Source organism: Homo sapiens, chromosome 8, assembly GCF_000001405.40.
Source record: "Homo sapiens chromosome 8, GRCh38.p14 Primary Assembly".
NCBI classification, from domain to species: Eukaryota; Metazoa; Chordata; class Mammalia; order Primates; family Hominidae; genus Homo; species Homo sapiens.
The window spans coordinates 59,593,359-59,621,224 of NC_000008.11; the positions used below are offsets into that span (position 1 = coordinate 59,593,359).

At 35.3% G+C, this 27,866-nt stretch overlaps 2 long non-coding RNA genes across 6 annotated transcripts, besides 1 other annotated feature; one reads left to right on the forward strand and one right to left on the reverse strand.

Annotated features, from left to right (window-relative positions):
• LOC105375860 (uncharacterized) lies at positions 1-9,830 on the reverse strand. Of its 2 annotated transcripts, none has more exons than XR_928931.3 (3): positions 9,577-9,830; positions 7,565-7,654; positions 1-410 (listed from the first exon to the last, which is right to left on the reverse strand). It is a non-coding gene; the product is annotated as an uncharacterized LOC105375860 (long non-coding RNA). The 2 variants fall into 2 exon arrangements; XR_928930.3 differs by having other exon boundaries at positions 1-456.
• On the forward strand, positions 6,707-26,864 carry LOC105375859 (uncharacterized). 4 transcript variants are annotated; one of them, XR_007060916.1, is made up of 5 exons: positions 6,707-8,094; positions 19,461-19,531; positions 19,904-20,249; positions 26,246-26,471; positions 26,554-26,840. It is a non-coding gene; the product is annotated as an uncharacterized LOC105375859 (long non-coding RNA). The 4 variants fall into 4 exon arrangements; XR_007060917.1 differs by having other exon boundaries at positions 26,246-26,380; XR_928929.3 differs by lacking the exon at positions 19,461-19,531 and having other exon boundaries at positions 20,023-20,249; positions 26,554-26,864.
• Positions 24,041-24,100: a silencer, noted in NCBI's record as "silent region_19223". NCBI's record gives its function as "represses an Ori minimal core promoter by ATAC-STARR-seq in GM12878 lymphoblastoid cells {active_cell/tissue: GM12878}" and the evidence as "EXISTENCE:reporter gene assay evidence [ECO:0000049][PMID:35858748]".
• Positions 26,865-27,866: the final 1,002 nt, after the last annotated feature.

A 27,866-nucleotide genomic window follows, 5' to 3' on the forward strand; every position in this document is an offset into this window, starting at 1 on the left:
TCTTAGAAAAGATAATAAAGTTATGAAGATAAAAAAATTGAGAGCGGACTTACTTACCAGATATTGGAACGCACTATATGTTCATCACATCAGTGTGGTACGGTAGTCACCCTTTATCCACAGTTTCAGTTTCCATGGTTTGTTACCTGCCATCAACCCTGTGCCGAAAATACTAAACGGAAAATTCCAGAAATAAACAATGCGTAAGTTTTAACTTGCCTGCAGTTCTGAGTAGTGTGATGAAATCTTGGGCCGTCAGGTTCCGTCCCTCTCAGGACATGAATCTTCCCTTTGTCCAGCAGATCCACGCTGTAACAGCTTTTCACCTGTGAGTCACTTAGCCGCCCTTTCTGCGATCACATCGACTTTCTGGTATGGCAGTGCTTGTGTTCAAGGAACAGTTACTTTATCTAATAAAAGTCCCAAAGTACAAGAGTAGTGTTGCTGGCGATTAAGCTATGCCAAAGAGAAACAGTAAAGTGTTTCCTTCAAGTAAAAAGGTGAAAGTTCTCCACTTAATAAGAAAAGAAAAAAAATTGTATACTGAGGTCGCTAAGATCTATGGTAAGAATGAAACTATCTGTGAAATCATGAAGAAGGAAAAATAAATTTGTGCTAGTTTTTGCACCTCAAAATGCAAAAGTTACAGCCCAATGCTTGTCAAGCAGTTAGTTAAGTTGGAAAAAGTACTAAATTTGTAAGTGGAAGACCTGAACAGAAACGTGTATGGATTGATGGCAATCAGGTTTGGTGCTGTCTATGGTTTCAAGCATCCACTGGAGGGGGTTGGAACCTATCCCCTATGAATAAGGGGGGAGCTACTGTATTAGGATAGCAATAGATAAATACATCACACAAATAAATAATTCAGAATTAGATCCTATGCATTTCCTTTTTCTGGTGTTTAAATTTATGGCAGATTTCCTTACTCTTTAGTGGTCATTCTCCTGAAAACTAGCTTTGTCTTCATGAATAATGTTGGCACTATTTGCAATTCTACATTCAGGGTTCTCATTTAGGAAGACAAATTCCCCGCCCCAACCCCTTCTGTTGAAACCTATGGATCAGCCATGGATAAATATGAGAGGACAGGCCGGGTGCAGTGGCTCACGCCTGTAATCCCGACACTTTGGGAGGCCGAGGTGGGCAGATTGCTTGAGGTCAGGAGTTCAAGATTAGCCTGGTCAATATGGTGAAACCCCATCTCTACCAAAAATGCAAAAATTAGCTGGGTGTGATGGCATGCGCCATTGGTCTCCGCTACTCAGGAGGCTGAGGCCAGAGAACCGCTTGAACTCAGGAGGCAGAGGTTGCAATGAGTCGAGGTTGCCCACTGCACTCCAGCCTGGGTGACAGAGTGAGACTCCGTCTCAAAAATAAATAAATAAATAAATAAATAAATAAATAAATAAATAAATAAGAGAGGCTAACTTAATATAATTGACCTTGAATTTAGGTTTGCAATTTTGAAGCTATAGATTTAAATGCTAAAGAGAAAATACAGATAATCACATCCATTTGGAGAAAATATGTAATCTTAGATCAAGCTTCATTGTTTAGAGCCACACTATCATCAGGATATATGACTCACATCTTTATGGCTAAACAAATAACCTTTCATTAAATCTAAAGTGAGTAGTACCATGCAATCAAGGGCTGTGAAGAGTTTATTTTCTTGGCTCTTTTTGTTGTTCTTTTATAACACATTTGTGTCCAGTTTTATTGTTCAAAACATCTTCAGGAGACATTATTTTAAACAAAATTTATTGTAATATGGTGATTTAAGTCATCTAGCCATTAGATCTATTTTAAAATTTTGTAAAGGAAACACTGTTTTAGCAAAATTAAATAGAGAAAATTGTGGCAAAACGTGCAGCAATAATTTATTTTTGCAAAACAAAAAGCGTAGAACTGCTCTCTAATTACTAGCCTTTGAGGCATTTACAGCTAAATTAAAATCATCATTAGCTGTTAAGTGTGTTTGCTTTGATTAGTTCCTGTTTTATGAGGTTTTAGGCAGAAGTAATTTTGTGGTATTATTAATGAATTTAATGTTAAGTGGAAAAAAACTTTTGTTATCTGACAAGTACCAGCTCTGGAATTAACAGTTTAAATTTTGTCAAAAGTCAGAGATGCTTTCTAACATATTTGCCAAGTATTAAAAATGATTATTTTTTTAAAGTTATCTTAAAAGCTAGTGTAATGGAAAAAAAGAAAATGCCAGTCTTATTCCCTTAACCATTATATCTCAATGTTATAAGGTAGAAAAGCACGGACTTTTAATATAGTCCTGTTCAAAACCACAATTCACCACTCTGACAATTTGGACCAATAACTTAGCCAACCTACACTCAATGTTCTTCATCTATAAAAACGGGAATATTAACATCTTTTCCAAAAAAATAGCTTTAAAGATTAAATAAAATAGTGAATGTTAAGTAGTATAGTGTCTGTGGTACATGCACTCAGTTAAGAGTTAATCTCTTTTTCCTTTCCTTTCCACTTGATCTTGTGTGTCTAAAGATATTAGAAAACTAATTCCAAGCATCTATCCAAAGATAAATGGAGGGATTTAGCATATTCATGTTATTATTGCATATGAATTTTGGAAAGAGAAATAATCCGAGTGTATGTGAGCTTCCTGTTTTAAACAGATAGTGACAGGAAAAATAAAAGTATATTTTCAACAATTTTGTATCAATGGGAAGATGGTTCTTTTTAAATATAATTTTGTGATTTCTGAGAGCAGTTGAAAATATTTAAACCCTGCTCGTTTCATTTGCGACTAAAACCAGTAATTTAACTTAATTGCTCCATGGGTCCAGATGTTAAGAGCTAGATGGAGTTAGTTAGAATAGAAACAAACAGAAATTTTTTTAAATGGAGGGAGGAATTAAGAGTTGGCCAAGGCTGCATTATTGCATTTTTGTGGTTCCAACATCATCAAAGTGTTTCGTCATACTCTACAAATTTAGTGTCTATGACTCCCACAGATCATCACTATATTCATCAAGGTTAATTCTCAGAATGTTTATGTCATTTTAGACATTTATAACTTATTCTAAACATATTTCCAGCAATTAAATCACAACCACTGCTATGATCTGAGGAAAATATGGATTTTTGTGTATGGCAATGAGAGGATATTTTGATGCTACAAAATTCTTTCTCTGGAAGTCTTCTAACCTCTCTGCATACTGTGGCATGCTTAATTGTGAGACAGAAATAATCACACATATTTCCCAAAGTATGCATCAAGTAAAAAGATAATGAAAAAAATGCACATTTGTGTTGTCATTATTTTGATCTACTTATTTGTGAAAGAGCAGCATGATCAGAAAATGACCAGAAAAAGATTATGGGTAGGAATAAGTCGCAATATTTCATCATAAAAGATAAATTGCTATTAATATTTAAATTATGCATCAGGATATGAAAGGTTCCTGCAAGTTCCATAGGACCAGCACTGGTTTGCAAACTGGCCAGGGTAAAATTAATGACAGGTGGAAACCATTTTATAGCCCTATTGGCATTCACTCTGATATGATACCACTGCCTTTTGGATGAGAAATGTTGAGAAGCAGCTCTCCATCATAAGCTCTGTACAGAATTTACATTAAGTTGTTTTTCATAAAGTTCTTTTTAAAGTTGTTCCTTTATTTAGAAGAGAACAAGCAGTTAAGCTATTGTGGGGGCATACAGGTTTGTGTGAGTGTGAAAGCATGGTGTTTGTGTAAAAATGTTTCATTAGAAGGATGTAGTCAGTGGAGTTAATTCACATGCCATATACTACTGCTGGACAGAGTTTGCTCTGGTATAACTCAAGAGTTGAAGTTGAGAAATCTCAAGTTATTAAAAATTTGAGCCATAAAAGAAATTTTAATGAAAAAACATGTGAGTTGGACTAGAGACCAGCAAATCTGCAATAAAAGTTATTTTTCCTCCAAGAATGTTTAATAATAACTGTTTTTAAAAGTTGTAAGCGTATAAAAACCTAAATATCACTGAGATAATCTACCATTTGATTAGCAAATTCAGTATTTGCTAAATTGCAATCAATCACCAGAACACAAGGATTAGCCCAGTGATTCTTATACAAATTCATTGTATGTTTATCACCCATTTTCATGATGGAGCATAAAATTGAAATAAGATAGCAAAAAGGCACCAAATCAAAATAAATTGCATAATGATTAGCAACAGACTGTGATAAGCAAAAGACAGCAACATCAACTGAGATCTAGCACCTCAGAAAAAGCACTGTTTTGTTTCTCTGCTATGTAACACAGAGGCGGTACCAGGCAGCCTTACTATCCATCAAGATCACGTCCTGCCCCTAAGCAATCTATATGATGCAAACCGATTTCACTAACAAATGCTCAATTCATACTTACACACAAATACCCCATTCGCAGTTTTAAAACTTTCTTAAAAGAAATGACCTTATTGACTAGTCTCTATTGACATTCATGTGTATGAGTTGCAAGAATCAGGAAAATAAAATCTAGTTATGTCAGAGCATTTCCTATAATTTCCTTGTAAAAGTTCTTTCTCTTTGAAAATATTTAATTTTGTTAGTCTATGGACAAATGACTTGGCCCTCATTAATTTATTCTAAACTATTCTATATAAAATAGTGATGCACAATTTCTGCTCCTTAGTTCACCTAAAACTGGGTTCTTGTCACACAACCAGGAAAGATTAGGCACACAGACACGTTGAAAGGTGAGGAGAGAGGAATTTATTAAAAGAAAGCTCTCAGTGAAAAAAGAAGAGGTCCTGCTAATAGGCTCCCACCTCATAGATTGAATACTAGGCCACCACACTCATGAGCTGAAGAAGCCAGGCTCCTCCCCACTGCACAAGGTACGAACTGCTCGTGACTCCACCATGTTCCCCCAGTGTGCATGTGGGCATTATTCAGAAAGAATCAGTCCGGAAACGGTGGCCAAACAGGGGCAGTTCTCCCTCTGAGTTGCCTGTTTCCTGGGACCAGCAGTCCAGTCTTTCAGCCTTCAGGCTGTTTTAGGCATGAAGGTGAGGTTTCCAGGGGAACATTGACTGTCTCCTGTCTCTATCAATAGTATCACAAATCATGAATTTTTTTTTCGTTCAAACTTTGGGAAGTAGGTATGATTATCTCTATGTTATAATTAAGTATGCCACAGTTTTCAGAGAGGTTAGAAGACTCCAAGAGAAAGAATTCTGCAGCACCAAAATTTCGTCTCATTGTTATACACAAAAATACATGTTTTCCCCATATCATAGCTATGGTTGAGATTTAATTTTTCATGCTGGAAATATTTTTTGAATAAATTATAAACGTTCAGTATAATTTCAACATTCTGAGGGTTAACCTTGATGAACATAGGGATGATTTAAGAGAGTCAAAAATGCTACATTTGTTGACTATGACGAACCACTTTGATGGTGTTGGAGCCACAGCATTGCAATGATGCAGCCTTGGTTCCCTCCTGATTCCCTTTTTGTTTCTTCTTTACATTTCAACTATCTCCATGTACCTCTTAACGTCTGGACCCGTGGAGCAATTCTAAAGTTTTTAATAGAAAACTATGGTAAATACAATACTGTCAGTCAAATGATATTTTTAAAATCCAAAACTCTCTTTTGCCACTAAATTTAACAGTGATATTGTACTTGATGACTGTAATTATGATTGTGAGTCTCTGACAAATCTTGAGGATTATTTTGAATTAACCAAAGGGGAAGAATTCCTGAATTTTTTCAACTATAATGCTTAATTGTTAGCCCATGTAAAGTTTTGGTTTGGTAACTCTTCATGATAATACTACGCTCTCAGTAGAAAGAAAATTTACTTATTTCCTAGCTAATTTATTTCTTTCCTTCAACTTAACATAGAGAATAGTAACAACCAAAAAGCTTTCCTTAACCATGAAACAAGGCTAAATAAGGTCTATTTAGTTAATTGTTCTAAATTGTCATTCATATGAGCAAAGAATGAACAGGAGTGAGATGTTACATTCTGGGGATACTGTATTTCCTCGACATAAACCAGAAACTGAAATAATATTATGAAAATTAATCACAACAAGTAGTGTTGTATTTTTATGGTTATCATCTTGTACCTTTGAATAACTTTGGTACTCTTGGTTTTGCTTCAGAGCCTTTCAACTCCAGAAGGAAATTGTGTCCTCAAAACTAATGTGTAATATAAGGAAGTCTCATAGCAGTATGTTACAGACAGAATTAGCCATGTAGACAACATATGCTAGTGACTATATATATGGGAAAATTTAGAAACAATAATTTTAGATCACTTGGAAGTACATAAAATGTAAAACTGTAATGTATCCTATAATTAAATTGTATTTGTTAAATTAATAAGGAAACTTAGTCATGGTCAAATGACTATGTTTTTGTTTAACATGCATAAGAATCAAGATTCAGTGAGTAGTTTTTAAAATTAGAATTGTTTTAGCTAATATAGTTTCCTTAGTTCTATTTTTTACTAACACAAATTATCATGGCAAAATACTATTGATCTTTAAAAAACAGCTTGCAAAGATTGAGTTATGTCTCATTTATTTGTAAGATTCCATATTTCTTTAAAAATTGCAAGGCTTATATAATGGTAATAGGCAAACTTGGTTTTCCATGCATTATCTTATTTTCCCCAAAATTCTATGGAGTTGGCACTCTTACCTCATTTTAAAGATGAGGTATCTGTGACTCAGAGAGGTTAAGTTAATGGTCAGTTTTATCAACAAGTTGTAGAGTTGGGATTTAAATCATACTGTACTTTTGTAGGTATAACACTTATCAATTAAAATTCGTATGCCTCCCCTTCATTTCTTTCCCTTGATTTTATTGTATTACATATTTTTAAGTATAGAAAAATAGAAAAATAACATAACAGCTACCTATTTCATCCCCAACTCTGATTTCACAAATACTGACATTTTGTCATGTTTTTGTTGTTGCTGTTGTTTTGTTGTTTGCCTTTTGGAAGTAAAATGTACTAAATGGAGCTAAGTCAAGCAGCAGCAGGACATAGTGTGAAGCTGCTCATCTCGTCTCTCTGTTCCCACAGCTACAATCCTCTGTTAGTTTCCTAGACCCTTTCTTCTGGACTACATCAACAAACTCACGTGCACTCTCCCTTGCTCCAGTCTGCCTTTGATCAAGTCTATTGCTTATACAACTGGTATGATAATATTCTCCAAACATTGCATTCCTCCTGTCAAACTCCTTTTCAATAATACACAGAGCCTCATTGTTATCTGTGTTATCAAACATTTAGCACTCAAAAACCCACATCACAGGGGTCCTTTTTTTTTTCTTTTTAACACTTTTCCCCTATAGACCCGTCCTTTTTATATGATATAGTGTCCCTTTATACCTTACAACATCCCATGGCTTCATCTGGTTTGTGGTTGTGGTTTTGACCAAACCATGCTCTTGGTTTTCTTGCCAACTTTATTAAAAATAAGCCTCTTCCAGAAGGTATTATCTCCTTCACTCCATTGTTTCTCTTCTGGGTATGGCTTTAGTATTCACGGATTTAGTTTGTAAAAATACATACCATTTAACACTTTTCTTGGTTCTGATACCTCTTGGTTCAAGATGGTGGCCTGAGAACATTTATATGCCTCCTGGCTCTTAAAAAATATCACTAGAATGAAAATAAATGTATACAAAAGTGAATAAACCCATAATAGCAAGATAATAGGAGTAAGGGCCAACAGTGAACTAAGGCTATTAATACAATTCTGGCAGACAAAAAGCAGATGTGTGTGGTGACAAGGGAGACAAAGCAGAAATAACTACAAGCCAGAATAACAGAGACTCTGTTTAAAAAGCCATATCTGGGGCAATTTTCTGGGGGCTCCAGGAAGAGGCGCCGCATAGCGTCAGCAAGGACTCAAAAGGAGCACTTCCCAGTGAAGCAAAAGAGTGGCGTAATAATTGGAGAACCCTCACGACGTGTCAGCCCCACCACGGCCCCATAAATGTAGCATGAGTGCGAGCTTGAAATTTGTAACATGAGATGAAAACTGGAGAAGCATCCCTAAAATATATGAACCAATCTGCCTAGAAATAGCTAGGAATCTGGTGAGTTGAACCTACCAGAGTACAGACCTTCTTATTCTGTTTTGAGGTGCTCCTGCTTGCACCTGCAAGCTTCCGCGTGTCATATTTTAAAGTAAAATATGCCAATTGATATAGTCATCATGTACCCAAAGAGTCAAAGAAGTTTATAGCCATAAAATAGAAACAGACTTCTATGACAAAAAGGAAAGATCATAGAATAAGAAAAAGTTTTTAAAAATTAAAAGAATATAACTGCCAGGAATTTAAAAAATTATGGTAGTGTCCAGAGCTATGAGTGACGCTATCTTCAGATTTTAAACACAAACATGCAGATTGAAAATATCAAAAGAAATTGAGTGTTTTGAGGCAAAGTTGAGTAAGAAGGGAATTGAGAGATGCATAAAAGAAGCGAGATAAAGTCCTTTGGATTAAAAGGCTGCTAGATAGTTAAACAGAATAAAAAACAAAATCCATTCTCAGAAGTATTTTTGTGAAATTTCAGATTCCCAAGGATAAAGAGCAGATTCTATAAGTTTCCTGTAAGGAAAAAAACAACAAAATAAAAGATTTTATACAAAAGAATACTCAAATGGGCAACAGAGTTCTCGTCAGCCTTACTTGTTGCCAGAAGGGAATGGTGTCATGCTCTCACAGAAAGGGAAGACTGCTGTGTGGCCCTCACCTGAATTCCCGTCTATAGTTTATGGGACCTCATATGTGGTTAATATTTGTTAACTTGAGCAAGGAAATGAAGATAAAGGAGAAATTTCTCCCACCAGAATAACCCTTCAGCTCCTCTATCTAAAACACCATTGCATTTGTTAGTGGGGTTTGGAATCAGCACTACTGATTTCCTTCATTTGAACTACTATTTTTAAACATAGTGCAGCCAGGCGCAGTGGCTCACGCCTGTAATCCCAACACTTTGGGAGGCCGAGGCAGGCAGATTACCTGAGGTCAGCAGTTTGAGACCAGCCTGGCCAACATGGTGAAACCCCGTCTCTACTAAAAATACAAAGATTAGCCGGACGTGGTGGCACACGCCTATAATCTCAGCTACTCGGGAGGCTGAGGCAGGAGAATTGCTTGAGCCTGGGAGACGCAGGTTGCACTGAACCAAGACTGTGCCACTGCACTCCAGCCTGGCTGACAGAGCGAGACTCTGTCTCAAAAAAATAAATAAATAAATAAATAAATAAATAAATAAATAAATAAAAAATAAAACCCTTAACAATGCACCTTGGGGGTCTTTTCCTCTCAGCACATAGAGCTGGACCCCAATCTTTTTTTTTCCAACTTTGTTGTGATACTATTGCCATACCATATAGTTCTCCCAATTAAAGTATAAAATTCAATTATTTTTAGTATAATATCAGATAAGTGCTACCATCACCACAGTCAATTTTAGAACATCTTCACTACCTCAAAACGAAACCCCATATGATTTAGCTAAAAGCCCCTTATCCCTAGTTCTCACCACCATAACCCTAAGCAAACACTTACCTATTTTCTGCCCGATAGGTTTCTTTATTCACATGAGTGAGATCATACAATATGTGGCCTTTGTAACTAACTTCTTTCATGTAGCATAACGTTTTCAAGGTTCATCCAAGTTGTAGCACTATCAGCATTCCATTTCTTTTCATGGCTGCATAATATTCCATTGTATGAATATGCCATGTTTTGTTTATTCATCCACCAGTTGAACATTTAGAGTGCTTCTACCTTTTGACTATTAGGATTAATGCTGCTATGAACATTCATGTACAAGGTTCTGTGTGGACATATGTTTTCACTTATTTTGGTATATACCTGAGAGTGGAATTGCTGGGTCACATGGTAACTGTGTATTTAATCATTTGAACAACTGCCAGACTGTTTCCCAAAGTAATGGTACCACTTTACATTCACACTAGCAGGGTCAGTGTATGAGGGTTTCTGTTTCTCCACATCCTTGCCAGCACTCATTACCTGGCTTTTTGATTCTAGCCCTATTAGTGTATGTGAAGTGCTACTTCATGGTAGTTTTCATTTGCAATTGTTTGATGACTAATGATATCAAGAATTTTTTCATGTGCTTCTTGGTCATTTGAACATCTTTCTTGGAGAAATGTCTGTTTTTATCCCTTGGCCATTTTTAAGTTGGGTTATTTCTCTTTTTATTATTGAGTTGTAAGAGTTTATATATTCTGACCTAATATCTTTGGGTACTCATTTTCCAGACTCCTACATGGTTCCAATGTTGAGGCTTTTTGCAATGCTGTAACCTACATTCTTTATTTTCAGTTAACAGTGTGTGTATGATTGCAGGTTTCTGATATCATGTTAGTTTACTTTATATGAAATCCTGTAGATCTTTGATATTTGTGAAGGACATATCTTGAGACCGTATTGAACCCATGAGTTTCTATAGGTATAAACGTTTAAAATCTTGACACTTTCTCAAATCACATTTCAGCATGGAGTCCTGCATTTGTTGGGATATCATCAGCCCAGCAGTTAATTGCCTATTAATGAATTGTTATTCATCACTAACAGAGAGAATGTACACTGGTAGGGAAATCACTGACATTTTTATTAATTGCCTTTCAAAAATTTATGTAGAGCGTATATAGTGGACTCACTTATGTCATATATCAGGTTAATTTAAGTAGTGAATTATCAAAATATTTTTTGTGGTTATTTTCATGACCTTCTTAGATTTTTTAGTGTTACTTTATTTCTTTCACAACACTAGCAGTTATTTATTTTTGTGATCACTTTACACTGACACACACACACACAATAACAAAAGTCACCTTATGTATGCATGCTGAGGATTATAGAATCAAAAACCTACACAGGGTTGTGGATGCTGACTATTTAGGTTTCCTTGTGCCCTCTTCTTACCCCTTAGCTGATTTGCATCTGTACAGCAGCCTTACAACCTGTGCAATTCAAAATTTTCAATTGGAAAAATTACCTATCACTGCATGTCATGCACTTTTGAATTTGCTCTAAAATAGTCAATATGGTAGATGTAAAATCTATTCACCCTAAAGATCTTTTGAATAAAAGCCTAAGAAGAGTGAGAAATAATACTATCTTACTTTCCCTCATTCAGAGTTGTTCAGTAAGCAGAGCTTTTCCACAGAAAGTGATCAAGACGGTGAAGTTCTCAAAATCAAGAGAAATAGTTGAAGGATCTGGGATAAGATTATCCAAAGAGATTTGAAAACTCTTCAAATAGAAAAAGTACTTCCATATGGAAAAATGATTATAGCTTGCTAGTTTAACCACAGAGGGTAGAACTAGGACAGACAAATATAACTTTTGGAGAATTCAGTTCAAAGAAGTACTTTCTAAGAATTAGAACTGAACATTCTTGGAATAGGATGTCATAATAGGTAGAGAATTTTATCAACTTGGACACATTCAACTGAAAATTGGTCAATCCCTTTATCAGATAATGGTTGTGGTGCTGAGGCAGTGTTAGAATAGATATCCTTCCAGGTTTTTCTCATACCACAGATTCTATTCTAAGTTCATACATGTTATAAAACATTTAGGACTTAATTTAATAATTACCAGAGGGCTGAATGTTATTCTTTTGTAATGACATTAAAATTTTACTGTAGCAAGAAATATTAGAATTTATATTCTAATCTCCTGGTCCCTTCTGACTTTAGAATGTTATTGGCAAAAGGGGAGGGGATAGTTTTGCTATTCATCATTCTAGAGATGCAAAATTAAGCTATAATTGTCTTAAAGTGTTCCTGCAAAATATAATTTTCTCATGATGTTCATCTGTAATAAAATTGTTTTTTACAAAATATATAGTATATGTAACCAGTATCAACAAATTAAATGGTGTTCTAATCTAAATAGGAATAAATACACATTTCAAACATTCAAACTATTTTAAAATATGATAAATACAATTCACCAAAAATAAATTTATAAAAGCATACATTGATGAAAAATTTAAAACTTTTGTATATAAGCTAATCACTCTCATTTTATTTGCCTTGTATTGGACATACATATTACTACATTACTCCCAAATATTAAAGGGCTGGTCAATATCTTTGGTCTTAGAGTTTTAGTATATATAGCATGGATAATTTAAAAATGATAATTATCTTTCCCTTACAATGCTATGATTATGCCCCTAGAAATGGACCATAAATATCACATTGGCACTTTTAAGAATAGAGATACCTATTTCCAGATAACTAAGTCCCTACTATTTGTTGAGCCATAAGTCATGTGTGACAGATAGTGTAAGAAGAGAGGGAAGAAGGTGAATGTTTACATTAAAAATCCATGGGATAACACTTAGGTAATTGTAAGAACTCAGACAAGTCATAAAACATCTCTAAACTTCAGTTTCCTACTCTCTGGTAAGGATATAGTACTCACTATATATAGTCTATGATAATTACAACAACCTTATATGGCAAGTACTATTATACCCACATTGCATATAATACAATTTTACCAATGTGCTAGACCAAATTACAGGAGCTTTTATTCAGTGACTGTTTTTATTGTAGTACAGCTGACCCTTGAACAACATGGATTTGAACCACACAGGTCCACTTATACATGACTTTTTCAATAAATATGTTGGAAATTTTTTGGAGATTTTTGATAACTTGAAAAATCCTGTGATGAATCATATAGACTAAAAATACAACAACAAGTTAAGAAAAAGTTATGTCATGAATGTATAAAATATATGTAGATATGAGCCTACATACATTTTCACTACCGTAAAATATACACAAATCTATTATAAAAAGTAAGAACTTATCATAACTTATGTACACAAATACTTACACATCATACATGGTGCTGTTCACAGTAGAGAGAAATGTAAACAAATGTAAAGATGCAGTATTAAATTATAACTGCATAAAATTAACTGTTGTACATTCTGTACTAATGCAATTATGTAGAAACCCCTTGTTGCTGTTGCAGTGAGCTCAAGTGTTGCAAGTATCTACTTAAAATGCCTATGTGACATAATCATCTTCCCATGAGCAGTTTGTCTCTCCAGTAAATTGCCTATTGTGGTAAAAAGTGATCTCTCTTGGTTCTTGTGTATTTTTCATAGTGTTTAGTGTAATACTGTAAACCTTGAATCGTACTATGCGACCTACATGAAGTGTCACCAGTGATGCTGGAAGTGCTCCCAAAAATCGGAGAAAAGTCAGAAAAGAAAAAGTTGAATTGCTTGATGTGTATTGTAGGTTTAGATCTGCAATTGCAGTTGCTTGCCATGTCAAGATAAATGAATCTAGCCTAAGGGCCATTGTAAAAAATAAAAGGAGCCTTGTGAAGCTGTCCCTGTAGCTATGCCAGTAGGTGCAAAATGCTTGTACTTTTTGTGAAATATCTTTTTATCTTGTATTGAAAATGCAGTTTTTATGTGAGTGCAGAATTGCTGTAAGAAAAGCATCTCTAGACTAATATGATTTGAGAAAAAGTGAAGTCATTATATGACAACTTAAAGCAAAAGGAAGGTGAAGAATCTAAAGCTGGATAATCTAATGCCAGCAAAGGATGGTTTGATCATTTGGCTTAAAACATGTCAAGATCACAGGAGAAGTAGCTTCTGGCAACCACAAGGTAGCAGATGAGTTCCCAGGTGCCATAAGAAAATCACTGAAAAGAAAGGACATTGGCCTAAACAGGCTTTTTTCTTTTTCTTTTTTTCTTTTTTTTTTTTTTTGAAACAGAGTCTCACTCTGTTGCCCAGGCTGGAGTGCAGTGGTGCGATCTTGGCTCATTGCAACCTCTGCCTCCCGGGTTCAAGCAATTCTCCTGCCTCAGCCTCCTGAGTAGCTGGGACTACAGGTGCCCGCCACCACACCTGGCTAACTTTTGTATTTTTAGTAGAGATGCGGTTTCACCATATTGGCCAGGCTGGTCTCAAACTCCTGACCTTGTGATCCACCCCGCCTTGGCCTCCTAAAGTGCTGGGATTGCAGGCACGAGCCACTGCACCTGGTCTGAACAGGCTTTCACTATAGACAAAAATGCCCCATTCTAGAAAAAAGAATAGCCACAAAGCACATTTAATAGCAAGGAAGAGAACAGAGCACAATATAAGGCAGGAAAGAGCCTAACTCTAAAAATATATCCTAACTCTATTTTTTGGGAAGGCAAATGCAGTCAGGTTTATGATCAGGATGGCCCTTATCTATAAAGCCATCAACTCCCTAGCCATGAAAGGAAAGACTAACACCAGCTGCTAGTATTTTGGTTGTATAATCAGAGGGGTGAAAAATGAGAACACTTTTTCTGGATTGGTTCCATGTATGCTTTGCCCCTAAAGTCAGGAAGTACCTTTCCAATAAGTGACTGCTTTTTAAAATTTTTGGAAATTGGATAATGCCCCTACTCACCCAGAATCCCATGAGTTCAACACTGACAGCATTAAGTGGTCTACTTGTGTTGAAACACAACATTTCTAATCCAGACCTACACATAATATTATATGGAAAGGATTGCCAATGCTATGGAAGAGCAGTCTGATGAGATAACATCATGAAAGTCTGGAAGGATCACACTATTGAAGATGCCAGAATTGTTATGGAAAAAGCCATAAAAGCCATCAAGCCCCAAACAATAAATTCCCGCTGGAGAAAACTGTGTCCACACATTGTACATGACTTCTACAGGATTTACAACAGTCAATGAATAAAATAATGAGAGAGATTTATGGATATGACAAAAAAAAGATGGTGGCAATGGTGGTGAAGAGTTTCATGATGTGACTCTTCAAGAAATTCAAGAGCTAATAGACACCACACCAGAGTAATTAACAGAAAACAACTTGACAGAGATGAGTGCTTCCAAACTAGTGCCAGATTATGAGGAAGACAGAAGCGAACTGACATTAGACAATCTGGCAGAAAAGTTCTGATTATTAAAGACTGCTATTGACTTATGACAAGAAATCTTGGATGACATTGGTACTGAAACTAAAATGATGGAAGAAGGATTGATACTATGTGGAAATATTTTTGGAGAAATGAAAAAGCAAAAATATCAGACCGAAATTATACTACATTTCCGTGAAGTTACACCAAATGTGCTTGCCTCTCCTGCCTCAGCTTTTACCTCCTCTATGTCTTCCTCTGCCACTCCTGAGACAGCAAGACAACCCTTCCTTTTCTACCTCCTCCTCAGCCTACTCAGTGTGAAAACAATGAGGATTAAGACCTTTAAGATACATTTCCACATAATGAATTGTAAATATATTTTGTCTTTCTTATAATTTTCTTAATATTTTCTTTCCTCTAGCGCACTTTATTATGAGAATACAGTATAACATATATAATTAAGTAAGCTAGATAAATATAAATATTATATAATTTATATAGACTTATATAATTTAAAAATATAAATATAATTTATATAAATATTTATATTTATCTAGCTTACTTTATTATGAAAATACAGTATAATATGTACCTTGCATATAACATATTAGATATATGTGAATCAACTGTTTGTGTTGGCAAATCTTTAGGTCAACAGTAGACTATTAAGATTTGTGGGGAGTCAAAGTTTGTATGTGGATTTTTAATTGCATGGGGTGGGTCAGCATCCCCACCCTCATGTTGCTCGAGTCAACTACGTTGATATTATTACTTTTATTATTATTTTTAAAGAGTCTGCAATGGGAGTTGATTGCCTCTATCAACTGCCAGATCTCAAGCCCACTACACTGCAGTAGATATTTAAGACATCAGAGATAACCCACATTGGTCATACTAATTTTTCTTTTGTAAACAGGATTGTTTGAGAAAGAATTTTGATAAAACTTAAAACAATATCTTAGCCAGTTAGTATCAGCTTTTGAATGTTAATGCCCGTATGTAAAGAACTAAAATGTCTCCAAGTCTATATTTCTTTTAGAAAGTAAGTGAGGCAGGCCAGGCACAGTGGCTCACAACTGTAATCCCAGCACTTTGGGAAGCCGAAGCAGGCAGATCAGTTGAGGTCAAGAGTTCCAGACTAGCCTGGCCAACATGGAGACAGCCCATCTCTACTAAAAATATAAAAAATTAGCCAGGTGTGGTACCTCATGCCTGTAATCCCAGCACTTTGGGAGGCCGAGGCAGGTGGATCACTTGAATTCAGGAGTTCAAGACCAACCTGGCCAACATTGCAAAATCCCATCTCTACAAAAATACAAAAAATTAGCCAGGTGTGGTGGCACACGCCTGTAGTCCCAGCTACTCAGGAGGCTGAGGTATGAGAACCGCTTGAACTCAGAAGTTAGAGGTTGCAGTGAGCTGAGATTGCACCTCTGCACTACAGCCTGGGTGATAAAGCCAGCGAAATTCTGCCTCAAAAGACAAAGTAAGTGAATCTCCCACCCCGAATCCTGGTGTTAATTATTGACTCTACTATGTAAGAAATAATACTACATTATTTTATGTTGCTGTACTTCTGCTAATAAACAAAGTAGAATAAAAAATTGCTATGTTTTATGCATATAATATGTAATATGATATGGTCCTTATTCTCCAGAATCTTACAAAGTATTATGAAAAAAGTATCAACTTAAAATTCCATTTAATAGTCTACTAGATGTAGTTAAGAACTACCATTTTTGGTACTCAGGACTTAGCTACTCTTGGTGAATTTTTAAAAAATTTTTAACTTACTCTTTCTCTTATATTTCTCATTTTCTTTGTAGTTTCCAGCCAACTCGCTCCTCATGTTTTGTTTTGTTTTGCTTTTCTTTTTGTTAAGTTTTATCTTATAGCCATATACTGTAATTCATGTGTTGTTTTTTAATGCATATTCCTACTACATCATGTACATCTTGCAGCGAAAGTGGATTAATTATGTTGCAACAAGCTAAGGCACCACTTTTGGGATGAGCTTTCATGCTAGGTACATTTCACAGCTCTACACATAGTTGGTTGCCTTTGGGTACCCATTCCTGACTGACCCAATGGGTGTCTGGATGATAGTGCTGGCCCAACATGAAGCATGGGAATCCACAGCTGCATTTTTCCTGAAGAGCACCATAGATATGTCAGGTGTCTAGTATACCTCTCTAGCTTAGATCCCAGTTAGTCAAGACTTTGGGCTCCCTTTTGTACTGATCCAGTTCCTTTCCCTCTTCTCTGGCACATGATTCCTGAAAATACTTGCCAGTGTATCCAAGATGTAAAATGCTTTTAGAAAAAAAGCAACACAACTGTGTAAATTGGTGGTTTTAAGAATTTACTATTGTCAATCTGATAGGGACACGCAAATCACTTTGACATTCTTTAATGCCAGCACCTTCACTGAAATTAATACAACATTTCTATAATTTTCTTTCAATCCTCTGACACACTCTTACACAGACATTTCTAACATTCTGCCTCTCCTCCCCAAAAAATCTGTTGAGTCCACACACGTACTTCTCTCTTCTGTCCAGTCTCAGAAGTGTCCTCTATCCAGGAATAACACCCATCTTCACCTGCACTTTATCCCCATTCTTTCTCATATCCTTTGAACTTCTTTCCACTAATTATTCTCATTCTACCTGTATTTCCAGCCTCTTTGTTTCAACTGGCCCCTGACCTTCAATGAGAATGAACACTGGATCTATCTCATTTTTGTCTCTCTTCTTCTCTATGTAGAAAATTTATTGAAGGCATAGCCTAAACTCATAGCTGATCTCTTTCTACCTTTCTTATTATAATGTTGCATCCATGTCTATTCTTCCACATTTTGTTTTGCAAATCCAGTGGTCTCCAATTTCTCATACTATTTGGCCTCTGCTGCATTTGTCATATTGGTTCTCTTTCAGTCTTCTCTGCTATGTTCTTCCCTCTCTTTACTCTTTTCATAGTCGGGTGGACATTCTTCATCCTTCAACTCATCCTTGAAACAAGGTTATTCTCCAGTGTTCCACTGTGAGCCATGTCTCATGTCCCTCTGTAGCTCCTCTCTGGGTGATTTCCCTTGCTCCAATTATCAAGTGTACAGTAGTATCTGAAATACTCATCTCTAGATAAAATTTATTTGAAATCCAGACATGAATATCCAGTGCTTTGTTAGGCAGCTCCATTTGGATTTCTCAAGTATAACTAAAACTCAGTAAATTCAAAATGTGCATCTCTACCATGTGCCTAACTGCTCTTCTAGATTTCATCACTTTCTTAGGCCTCTAAGTGGAAAAGCTATAAGTCATACTTCCATAACTCCAAGTATGATCTATCTCTTTATTCCCTCCAGCGCAAGATATTTGCTATGAGAAACATAAATTTTAGATTCGTGCTGTTTTGAAATCCTAAATAAATTCAAGAAAATGTCAATTTTATCAAAGAAAAAAGAAAAGTGAGACAATAGATTGAATATTTGGAAGACATACAGATAAATTGAAAGAATTGGAGAAATTAATAACACTACAAGATAATTTAAATGGGACTAGAAATGATAAAAAAATAGAATCAACATTGCCTTCAAATTAACAATGTAATTTACATACTTTTGAAGCTTTCCAAAAATAGTTACAAAAATTAATTCTCAGAACAGAAAAATTATTAAAAAACAAAATAGAATAAAAACTTTCTTGAACTAAACAGTAGCATCAATGAGGATATTATGAACCAGAAAAATTAATAAAGAGAACAAAAACACATTTAAATATGTACTTTTTTAAAAAAATTAAAGATGAAGGTATACTTTACATCCAAATAGAAAAAAAGTTAGAAAAACATTTAAAGAAAAAATGGGGAATATATTATTATTTTTACAGCATGTAAAGGTAGATAGCGGCATAGCAACTATAATAATATTTATTCTAAAAATAACAAACATTTATCACTTAATTTTTTTCAGAATTGGGCTATGTATTTACAGGCATTATTTTATTTAATCCTCAAAACAACTGTAAGTTATAGACATTATCATTAGTCACATTCTACAGATGAGTAAACTCAGGCTCAGAGAAGTTAATATGCTTAGTGTCTTCAAACTAGTGATTATGAGAGTAGAGACTTGAACTGTCTTTTGATGCCAATCAGTAATGTCAACATCATACAGTGGTTTTCCAGATGTGGCCACAAACCATCTGCATGAGAATTATACACACTCCTGCCAGAATTCTCCATTTTAAGGAAATGACCCTAGTGATCATCTTTCTACATTTTTACACAAAAATGCTATACTTTCTATGTTCTGTAGTTGCCTATGCAGTAAAATTATATGCTATAGTTTTACACATTATGCTATATGCTAGTTTATGAGAGAAATCATGACCCACGTATTGTCAATCATAAATATAGTCACAGTAAAGACATTATATAATGCCTCTATTTAAATAGTCAGGAAGTAAATGACCTAAAATACTTTTCATGAAAAATGCATTTGATGATATTTTTCAGCCACCAGAAAGATGAATAAAATAAAAGATTGAAGAAGTAGCAAGTAGCAGTATGGAAGACTTGTGGCTAAGGTAGTAGCTAAATCTTTCAATGTGGGCAAGTTACTTAACCTCACTATATTCACTTTTCATATTTGTGAAATGAGAATAAGAGCTCCTATGTCATACAGTTGTTATGGTATTTAAATAAGATAACTCATAATATGCCTAGCACAGTAAAGGGCACTCTTAAAAACAAAAACTTTATTTTAGAGTCTTATCTTTCAAAATGTAAGAGAAGGTATTCCAAATGAATGCAAATTTTAAGGAGGTTGGACCTTGAGAGAATAGTCATCTGTGGAAAGAGATTATTTAGCATGATGATCAGAATTAACATCCGGCCAGGAGTTAAAGAGGAATGTTTGTATTGAATTAAGCAATTGTTACTCAAATTTCTCTCAACAGATATGTGTCTTGGGAAAAAGAAGGGCTGAATGTTAACACAACTAAGGGTCTCACTGATTCCCCAATGAAGCAACTTCACGGGGGAACCCCTCTAAGAGATTTTCTCTCTGCATTCACAGAAGACACTTCGCACTGTTATGCACCAGGAGGATTGACTGTCTCTGTGGCTTGGAGGCAGTTATACGTAGCAGCAGCAGCAGCAGCAGCAGCAAAAGTTAACAGGAGCCGGAGTCTGTCTTCAAAGAGCAGTCAGTAGAGATGAAGAGTAGATTACTGATTCCATAGTACATGTCAGATACTGCCTAGGGACTTCCTAAGTAGAGGTCAAGGTCCCACTGTTATACAGGTAGGGGTTAATGAGCTAGCAAATTAGGATATTAATATTAATGGAGCATCTTTAGTACCCACAGGCTAATGAAGTCTGGGGTCATTTGGGTTATATTAACATGAAACAAAGTGGAATTTTAGGCCAAACGCATTTACCAGAATAAAGAGAGCAATTTTCCTGATTAAAGGAGATAAGATCTGTAGTTATTGCCTGAGATAAATAACATAATATTAAAATATATATAGCAAAACACTAGTGAAAATATAAGGAGCAAAAAATGCAATGGGTGTTTCTCAGTGTTTGACAGAAAAAGGAAAATTTTAAATAATTTTAGATAATCTGAATAATATAATTATGAGATTATATATAAAGGATGTATATGTGTACATATGTTGATATATATACAAACACACGTACATGTATGTATATGTGTGTGTATACTAACATGTTCTTGGTTTCAGTAAAGTTGGCAATTTAAAAATAAAAATAAAATAGATTCCCAACAAAGGAGAAATTCTCCAAAGGAAAAATTACAGGAAATATTCAATGAGGAAATAAATTATATATAAAGTTAATAACAAAAAATTAAAAATGTTCTAACCACTTGGATGTAAAGACTATCAGAAAGTAACAGTAGTGGGAAGAGTCCATATTAAAATCCTAAGAGAAACGTATGTACTAGTAGGAAAGTACCCTTAAAAATCTTAATATTAAGCTTTTTAGTATTTAGATAACGAAGAAAAAAATACTGAGTCAGTTTGTATATTAGAAAGGAATTAATAAAATAAATTGAAATATTAAAAAAGAAAGCAATTAGTATAAGTGGTAAAAAATTAATGATTTAGAATATAAGAGACTAACTGATTAATAAATCCTAAAGCAAAGCACATTGTTTGAAAACTACGAAAACTAAACAGATAAGGTAAATGTGTTATATAAGTAACAGAAAACAAACACAGATGTAGAAAAATATGAATTAGTAGATAATTATAAGATAAATATATAAAACTCTATCCTAATAAATAAGAAAGTATTAATGAAATGGATGATTTCATATTAAAATGCATTACTTTAATTCTAAAAAACCAACTAAGATTGAGAAAAAGTTTAATGGAACATTACTATGTTGCTACTTTAAAAGAAAAGTCTTGTCATAGGATTATTTTTAAAAGATGCTGAACTGAAATTGCTTTTTCAGCTTTCTGATGGTTTCTAGTGTGTGTATGTCCAGAGATAGATATGTAAAACCAAACAAACATAAATATTTATAATTCCTATTTCTTATTTATTAGAACTTTCAGTACGATGTTAGATCATTGCAGGCCAATTACACTTATGAAAATATTCACAAAAATGAAATAGAAAATTGAATCCATCACCATGTTAAAGAACATGTAATAATGAGTTATGACTAAGTAGAGTTTATGATGAGTGCAGGGATACATTATATTAAGACATCTACAAAAAAAGGGGAAAAAAGAAATCTACAAATATAATTAATCATTTTAATAGTTTACTTTAGTAAACTATCTTATTAGATTATACTTCCTTACTATATTAAATAGTATATTTTATATCAATAATCTATATAGAATTAAATCTAGATGTATTTCCATTAAAGGCAGAGGATCACACTTTTTTATGCTTATCTTTAAAATAATTGGGAAATATAACACAAAAATAAAATATGAAATATATAAATTTAAAAAATAGGAAACCATAAAATCAGAAGAAAACATACAATGCTTTTCCAACCAAATAAGAATAGTTTTCAGGAAAGAAAAAAAGAGTAGATAATTATAAAATTAACAAATGCTATGAACAGACAATTTACAAAGAAATGCAAATATTCAGTAGACAATGTACAGATGTTCAACCTGACTGGTGATTCAAAACAAACAAAGTTAATAGTTACATTTTTATTTATCAAATAGAAAATGTTTGAAAATACAAGAAGCCTGGTGTGGTCAAGGTGCTAAGAAAATAGGCATTCATGTACACTGTTGATAGGAGCAAGAACTGGCAATTTTTTTTGGTGGAAAAAAATTTAATATGAACCTAAGTCTTAAAATATGAGTTTGAATTCCATCTCTCCTATAGCCCCTTTGTACAAATTTAACCTAAGGGAAAAATGCACTAATACAAACAAATGCTTTCAAGAATGATTTTCTTAATTACTTAATTTCTTAACAAGATGCAGTGAGATCTCCCACCTAATCTTCAAGGTAGGAGTCAGTTTTACAGGCCACAGTTTTTCAACCCTCAGCTTCTTTGAATGACACCATACGCTTCTACTGAATACGTGCCCAGATTGACCCTCCAGTCCATCTTACAATGTGAACGACACTGGTTACTATGGTTCTCCTTCTGCCCCAGTCAGGAGGAAGGGCTTCTTCCAGGATGAGGAAGCCCTTGCCAAGTGACTGGGGCAGGAGAACCATAGTAGACCTTGCTCTAATTTTGGTCACAGCTGTTCCTGTGGAATAGAGCTTCATAAATGTAGCATTATACAAACAACAGCTACGTTTACTGTGTAATTACCGTGTTCCAGACATTGTTTTAGTACATTTTATGTATTTAATACATGAAATAACCTGATGAGGTAGGTAATTCTATCTATATCCTTGTTTTAAAGATGAGAAAAGCAAGGCATAGATAAGTCAGTAACTAGCCCATAGTCACCCCAAAGCCACATCACACCCAGCCCCACTGCATTGCAGCTCCAAACAACACTGGTGAATGCTTTCACTGTTTGTATACGGAGAATTTATTGAAAGATTACATTTTTTCTAGGCCAGTGCTCTCAATGGAGTATCAGTGTGTCCTACAGCCTGGCAAAAAACTCTTCAGAAGTACACATGTTCCTCACTTCTGTATCAAATTCAGATACATGCTTTAAAAGTGCGGGAGGAAGAAAAGAAAATAGCAATGTATGAAGACTAAATAGAGAAAACACAATTGAGCAGCAGAGGGAGAAATCAGAGGACAGAAGTGTGAAAAAACAATAGAAGGTCTTCCTCTGCGTTGACCCTAGGTCCACAACTCTAGACGAAGTGCTAAAAATAACTTCACTATTCTCAGGGGAGAGGGAAGGAACTGTGAAGTTTTCTGCTCTCACACTTCAGGTTTCCATAAATAGTTTCAATACTTGTAGGCTACAGGGGAGAAGAATGAGTCTTCTCATGGTTTTTGGACATAAGGGATGTATATTGACCTCTGAGAATTAAATTTTAAATCACCATAAAATAGATGAGAACAGAGATATACAAATCCACTGTAAAGAAACTGACTTTTCCAGGCCAGCAAGATTTTGCAGACACAAACCTGAAATGTATTTCTTGGAACATGAGTCCTATAAAATGTCCTTCAGAGGAAAACCAAAGCTTCTCTTGCCCACATTTTGGAGATTCACAGAGCACATTTCTATACTAAGGGCTCTAAATAGTCCTATAGGAATAACACATTTGGTTCAGTGTTTTATGCACTTATTTGATAATGTTTCTGCTTTTAGGACCTGGGAAGCCTTGGTAACTTATGCTTACAAAAGTAGGAGATTGCAGAGCCTGAGTAATACTTACTACTCTAAAGTAAATGGACTCTTCTCTAGATGTCACAATATGGTAGAATTAACGTGGGATCTGGAATGAGCTAAAACAGGAATCCTTGATCTTGCTTCTACCATTTACTAGCTCTGTGACTCAGCAAGTTTTTTGCTCTTTGTGAGTTTCACTTTACTAATCTGTAAATTGGGATAATAATACCACTTGTGGCTTTGTAAAATCCTGTACTTATACTAAAGTCATGAGTGTCCTATGAGTCAGTCATAAGCTATTTTGCTAGAGGTAACTTTGTGGTATCTGGCAAGTTATTTTTAGAACCTACCTGTTGTTTTGCCTGGGTCTGTATGCATGTGTGTAAGGATGGGGCGGGTGTTGCCTACACCAAGTTTTTATGACATTCTTTTCTTTCATGCTGGTACTTCCCCAAACCTGTATTTTTGGAATGTGCATATCACTAACTACACACACGGCTAGATTCCAATCTCCCCTTTGTACAGAATGCCAAGAATAGGGTAGGAGGTTGAGGGCTATACTAGGGGCTTTTGTTGATTTTTCTCCTTGTGATTTTAATTTTGATCTGTGCATGAATGCCAGATTTAATTCTTAGGTCTAACTTTCTCCCGGTTCTTCTTTAATGCTAGTTCCACGGAACTGTATTCTGGGGGTTATTTTTAGGCATGTGAAGCCACATGAGCTTGATTCTATACTTTATTTGGTTGAAAAACAGTACAAGATGGTAGAGGAGGCAAATTAACAAATACAAACACTGAAAGAACACTGAAGCAAGATCACATAACTTTTAACGTTGCGTTTCATCTCTTCTTCCATTACTGTAATGGAAATTCCTTTAGAGATGTTAGTTTAGTTTATTTAGATTATGTCATTTAAGAGTTTGAAGATAGTTCTAGTTTCACTTAAACTTAGAGCAATGTTTATAAAACTTCTCTGGGCCTTAAAGAAACAGCTGATGTATTTCCAGGGCAGCCAATTTGGAATTAAAGGCAGACCAAGCTCCTCATACCATTTAAATAGACAATTCTCCCCACGGGCAGACTTACTAGTGGGTAGAGAACAGTCAGGTTAGTGCATTTTTTTTTACTCTGATAATAAAAAAATATAGTAGTTGTTTTTAGATCACAGAGTGTTTCTAAAGCAAATAATTGATTTAACCCCCTTAAATCCTCCTTGGAACAATAAACAAAGGGTCTTAGCCATATCCTGGTAGGAAGTAATTTTTTTTTTGAGAGTCAGTTAGTCCTTTTGTAAGGAACAAGAACTTTTTAAAGTCCCGAGGATACCATTTAGCAAATTATTGTCGCAGTTTCTTTAGTGATACCCCAGGGCCCAGAAAGATGTAATGAGCCTTTGAAAGTGCCCAAGTTACTGTTAGAGAGTAACTTATAACTGGGAGAATTTAGCTAAACACGCTGGAAAGTTTCTGTGGATGGCTGTGTAGATCAAGGCCACATAAAAAGGATAGATTCTAAACCTGGAACATACTTCTTCATAAAATAAGCTTCATTTTATCCTATCCAATGGCATTATTAATAATATATTTACATACAATATAACACAAGTAGCAAAATGCCTTTGAAGTATGTATTGCTTGTGTATATTCTGTTGCCTTAAGATCAATAAGCATATAAATACCTTCTTTTAGGGTTTGAGAGATGCTTTTGAATCTAATTATATTAGTTTCTGGTAAGAGTGTTCAAATCAGAAGAAAGTAGTTTGGGTCATGTCCATTTGCTGACATGGTTTGGTTTTGACACCTGCCTCTACTACTGGGGGCAAATTACAAATACTGTCTCTCAGCATTATAAATATATGGGAAATGGAAAGGACTCTCTCTTCCCTTATTTCCACATTTCAAAGTAGAACTTAAGTAACTTGGAATAATACTCAGCACCGTAGACAAAAAGTGGCTACTGTATTTAAACAGAGGGTCAGTGCTGTAATCTTATGCCCTATCAAAGACTGCACTGAAATCATTGGCTTTATGTATAAATGCAGAAGAACATATATAGGTATCCTTGAAAGGAAGATGGCTTAAAGTCATTCTAATTAAACTATCAGAGTTTAGACCTTTTGGACCTCTAAAACCTTTTGTACTCTTTGGAAAAAGGGGACATCAAGGATCTTGAGAGTCTGATTGGGTATATTCTACAACCTTAGTTTGCATCTTTATGATATTTACCTCATCGCAGGGACTTTTAAAATAAATTTCACAGAAAGTTGCTAGTATTAAAAGATTTCCTCTTCAGACAAGGTAATTTTGTATCACATATTACAGGTAGCTTTGTGATTATTTCGTGATTATTTTGCATTGCTATAGGCCGGTTTTCCCAGAAATTTCAACTTCTTCAACAAACAAAAACAGGATGGTAAGAAAATAACAATGTTTATTACCCAATTGATTTTCTTTTGATTCCAAATCTTGTTTTTCTTTTGAAGTGTATAAATTCACAGAAGTCAGAAGCTGAATGCAGTCACAAAGAGAGCAAAGCACTTTGTAAAGTGAACTCAATACCCCCGTTGGGGCTCAGAAAACAGTACCCCAAAGTGAAGTCCTCAGAAGCAGCCCCAAAAGTAAAGTCTCTGACCTTCTCCTACCCTCCCATCCTCTCTCCCTTCCTTCTCCACTGAGGCAAGATAGAAACTAAAATTCCTCTTCCCCAAGGTGGGTCATAGAAACCAGAACCCCTTTCCCCCAAAGTCCACCATAAAGCCTCAAAATATTGCTTTAACATCTCCCCCTCCAGGAACCCCGCCTTTTTGTGTAACAGTTGGCCATAAAGAAATTAAGACCTTCATTCCAGAGAGTCCTATTGCATGCCTGAGAGGGAGGAAGGCTGCACAGAGACGCCAAGAAGCTGGACAGTCCTTGCTGGGTTTCCCCACTCAGTCTTTAAGCATTCGATCATACCCCTTCTGTCCAGTTGTATTTTACATGGCTGTCCATACATCATTGAATGTCAGTGTAAAAATGGATTGTTTTCCCTGTATCTTTGGGTCTTTATTCTGAAGTCTCTTTTAAAACTATGATCAAATAAATTTGTATGCCTTTTCTCCTATTAATCTGTCCTTTGTCACTTGATTTTTTTTTAGCGAACCTTCGAAGGGCAAAGGGGAAGTTTTCTCCTCACCCCACACCTCTCTGTACCTTCATGTTGAGTTAGCCCAAGCTCCTGGCTGACCCTGACCAAACAGAGCCAGTGATAAGATCTTCTATCATCCCATTCAAAATATGTGACAGAGTAGATTTACACCAACAAACTCATTTTTTTTCTTTTAAGACAGTTCTGAAAACTAGTCTCCAGAAACAAAAGCAGACATCTAAAGTATGCTGCATCATTTCCTCAAAGCTGAATATAAAACTATTCTCCTGTGGTTATAACTCTTAATTTTTAAAATCCTTTCAGTCTTCTCTTGAAATTCCTCTGATTTGGTGGTTCTTAAATTTTATTACACAATGGAATCACCTTGGGGACTTTGTATTTGTCTGTTTTCACACTGCTGATAAAGACATACCTGAGACTGGGTAATTTACAAAGAGAAAGAGGTTTAATGGACTCACAGCTCCACATGGCTGGGAGGCCTCACAATCATGGTGGAAGGCAAAAGGCACGTCTTGTATGGCAACAGACAAAAGAGAATGAGAGCCAAGTGAAAGGGGCAACTGTTTATAAAAACATCAGATCTCTTGAGACTTATTCACTACCATGAGAACGGTATAGGAGAACCCCCCAACCATAATTCAATTATCTCCTACCATGTTCCTCCCACAACATGTGGGAATTATGGGACCTACAATTCAAGATGGGATTTGGGTGATGCTCAGGTTGCATTCCAAACCGGTTAAGCTGGACTATCTGCAGGTAAAAGTTACGCATTTGTATTTTTGAAAGAACTTTTTCATCATCCAAAACAGAAACCCTGTACCTATTAAACAATCACTCCCCATTACTCTCCTACCCCTCAACCTATGCTCGCACATCCCCTGCCAGCCCATGGTAACCACCAACCGACTTTTTGTCACTATGCATTTGACTATTCCAGGTACTGTATATGAGTG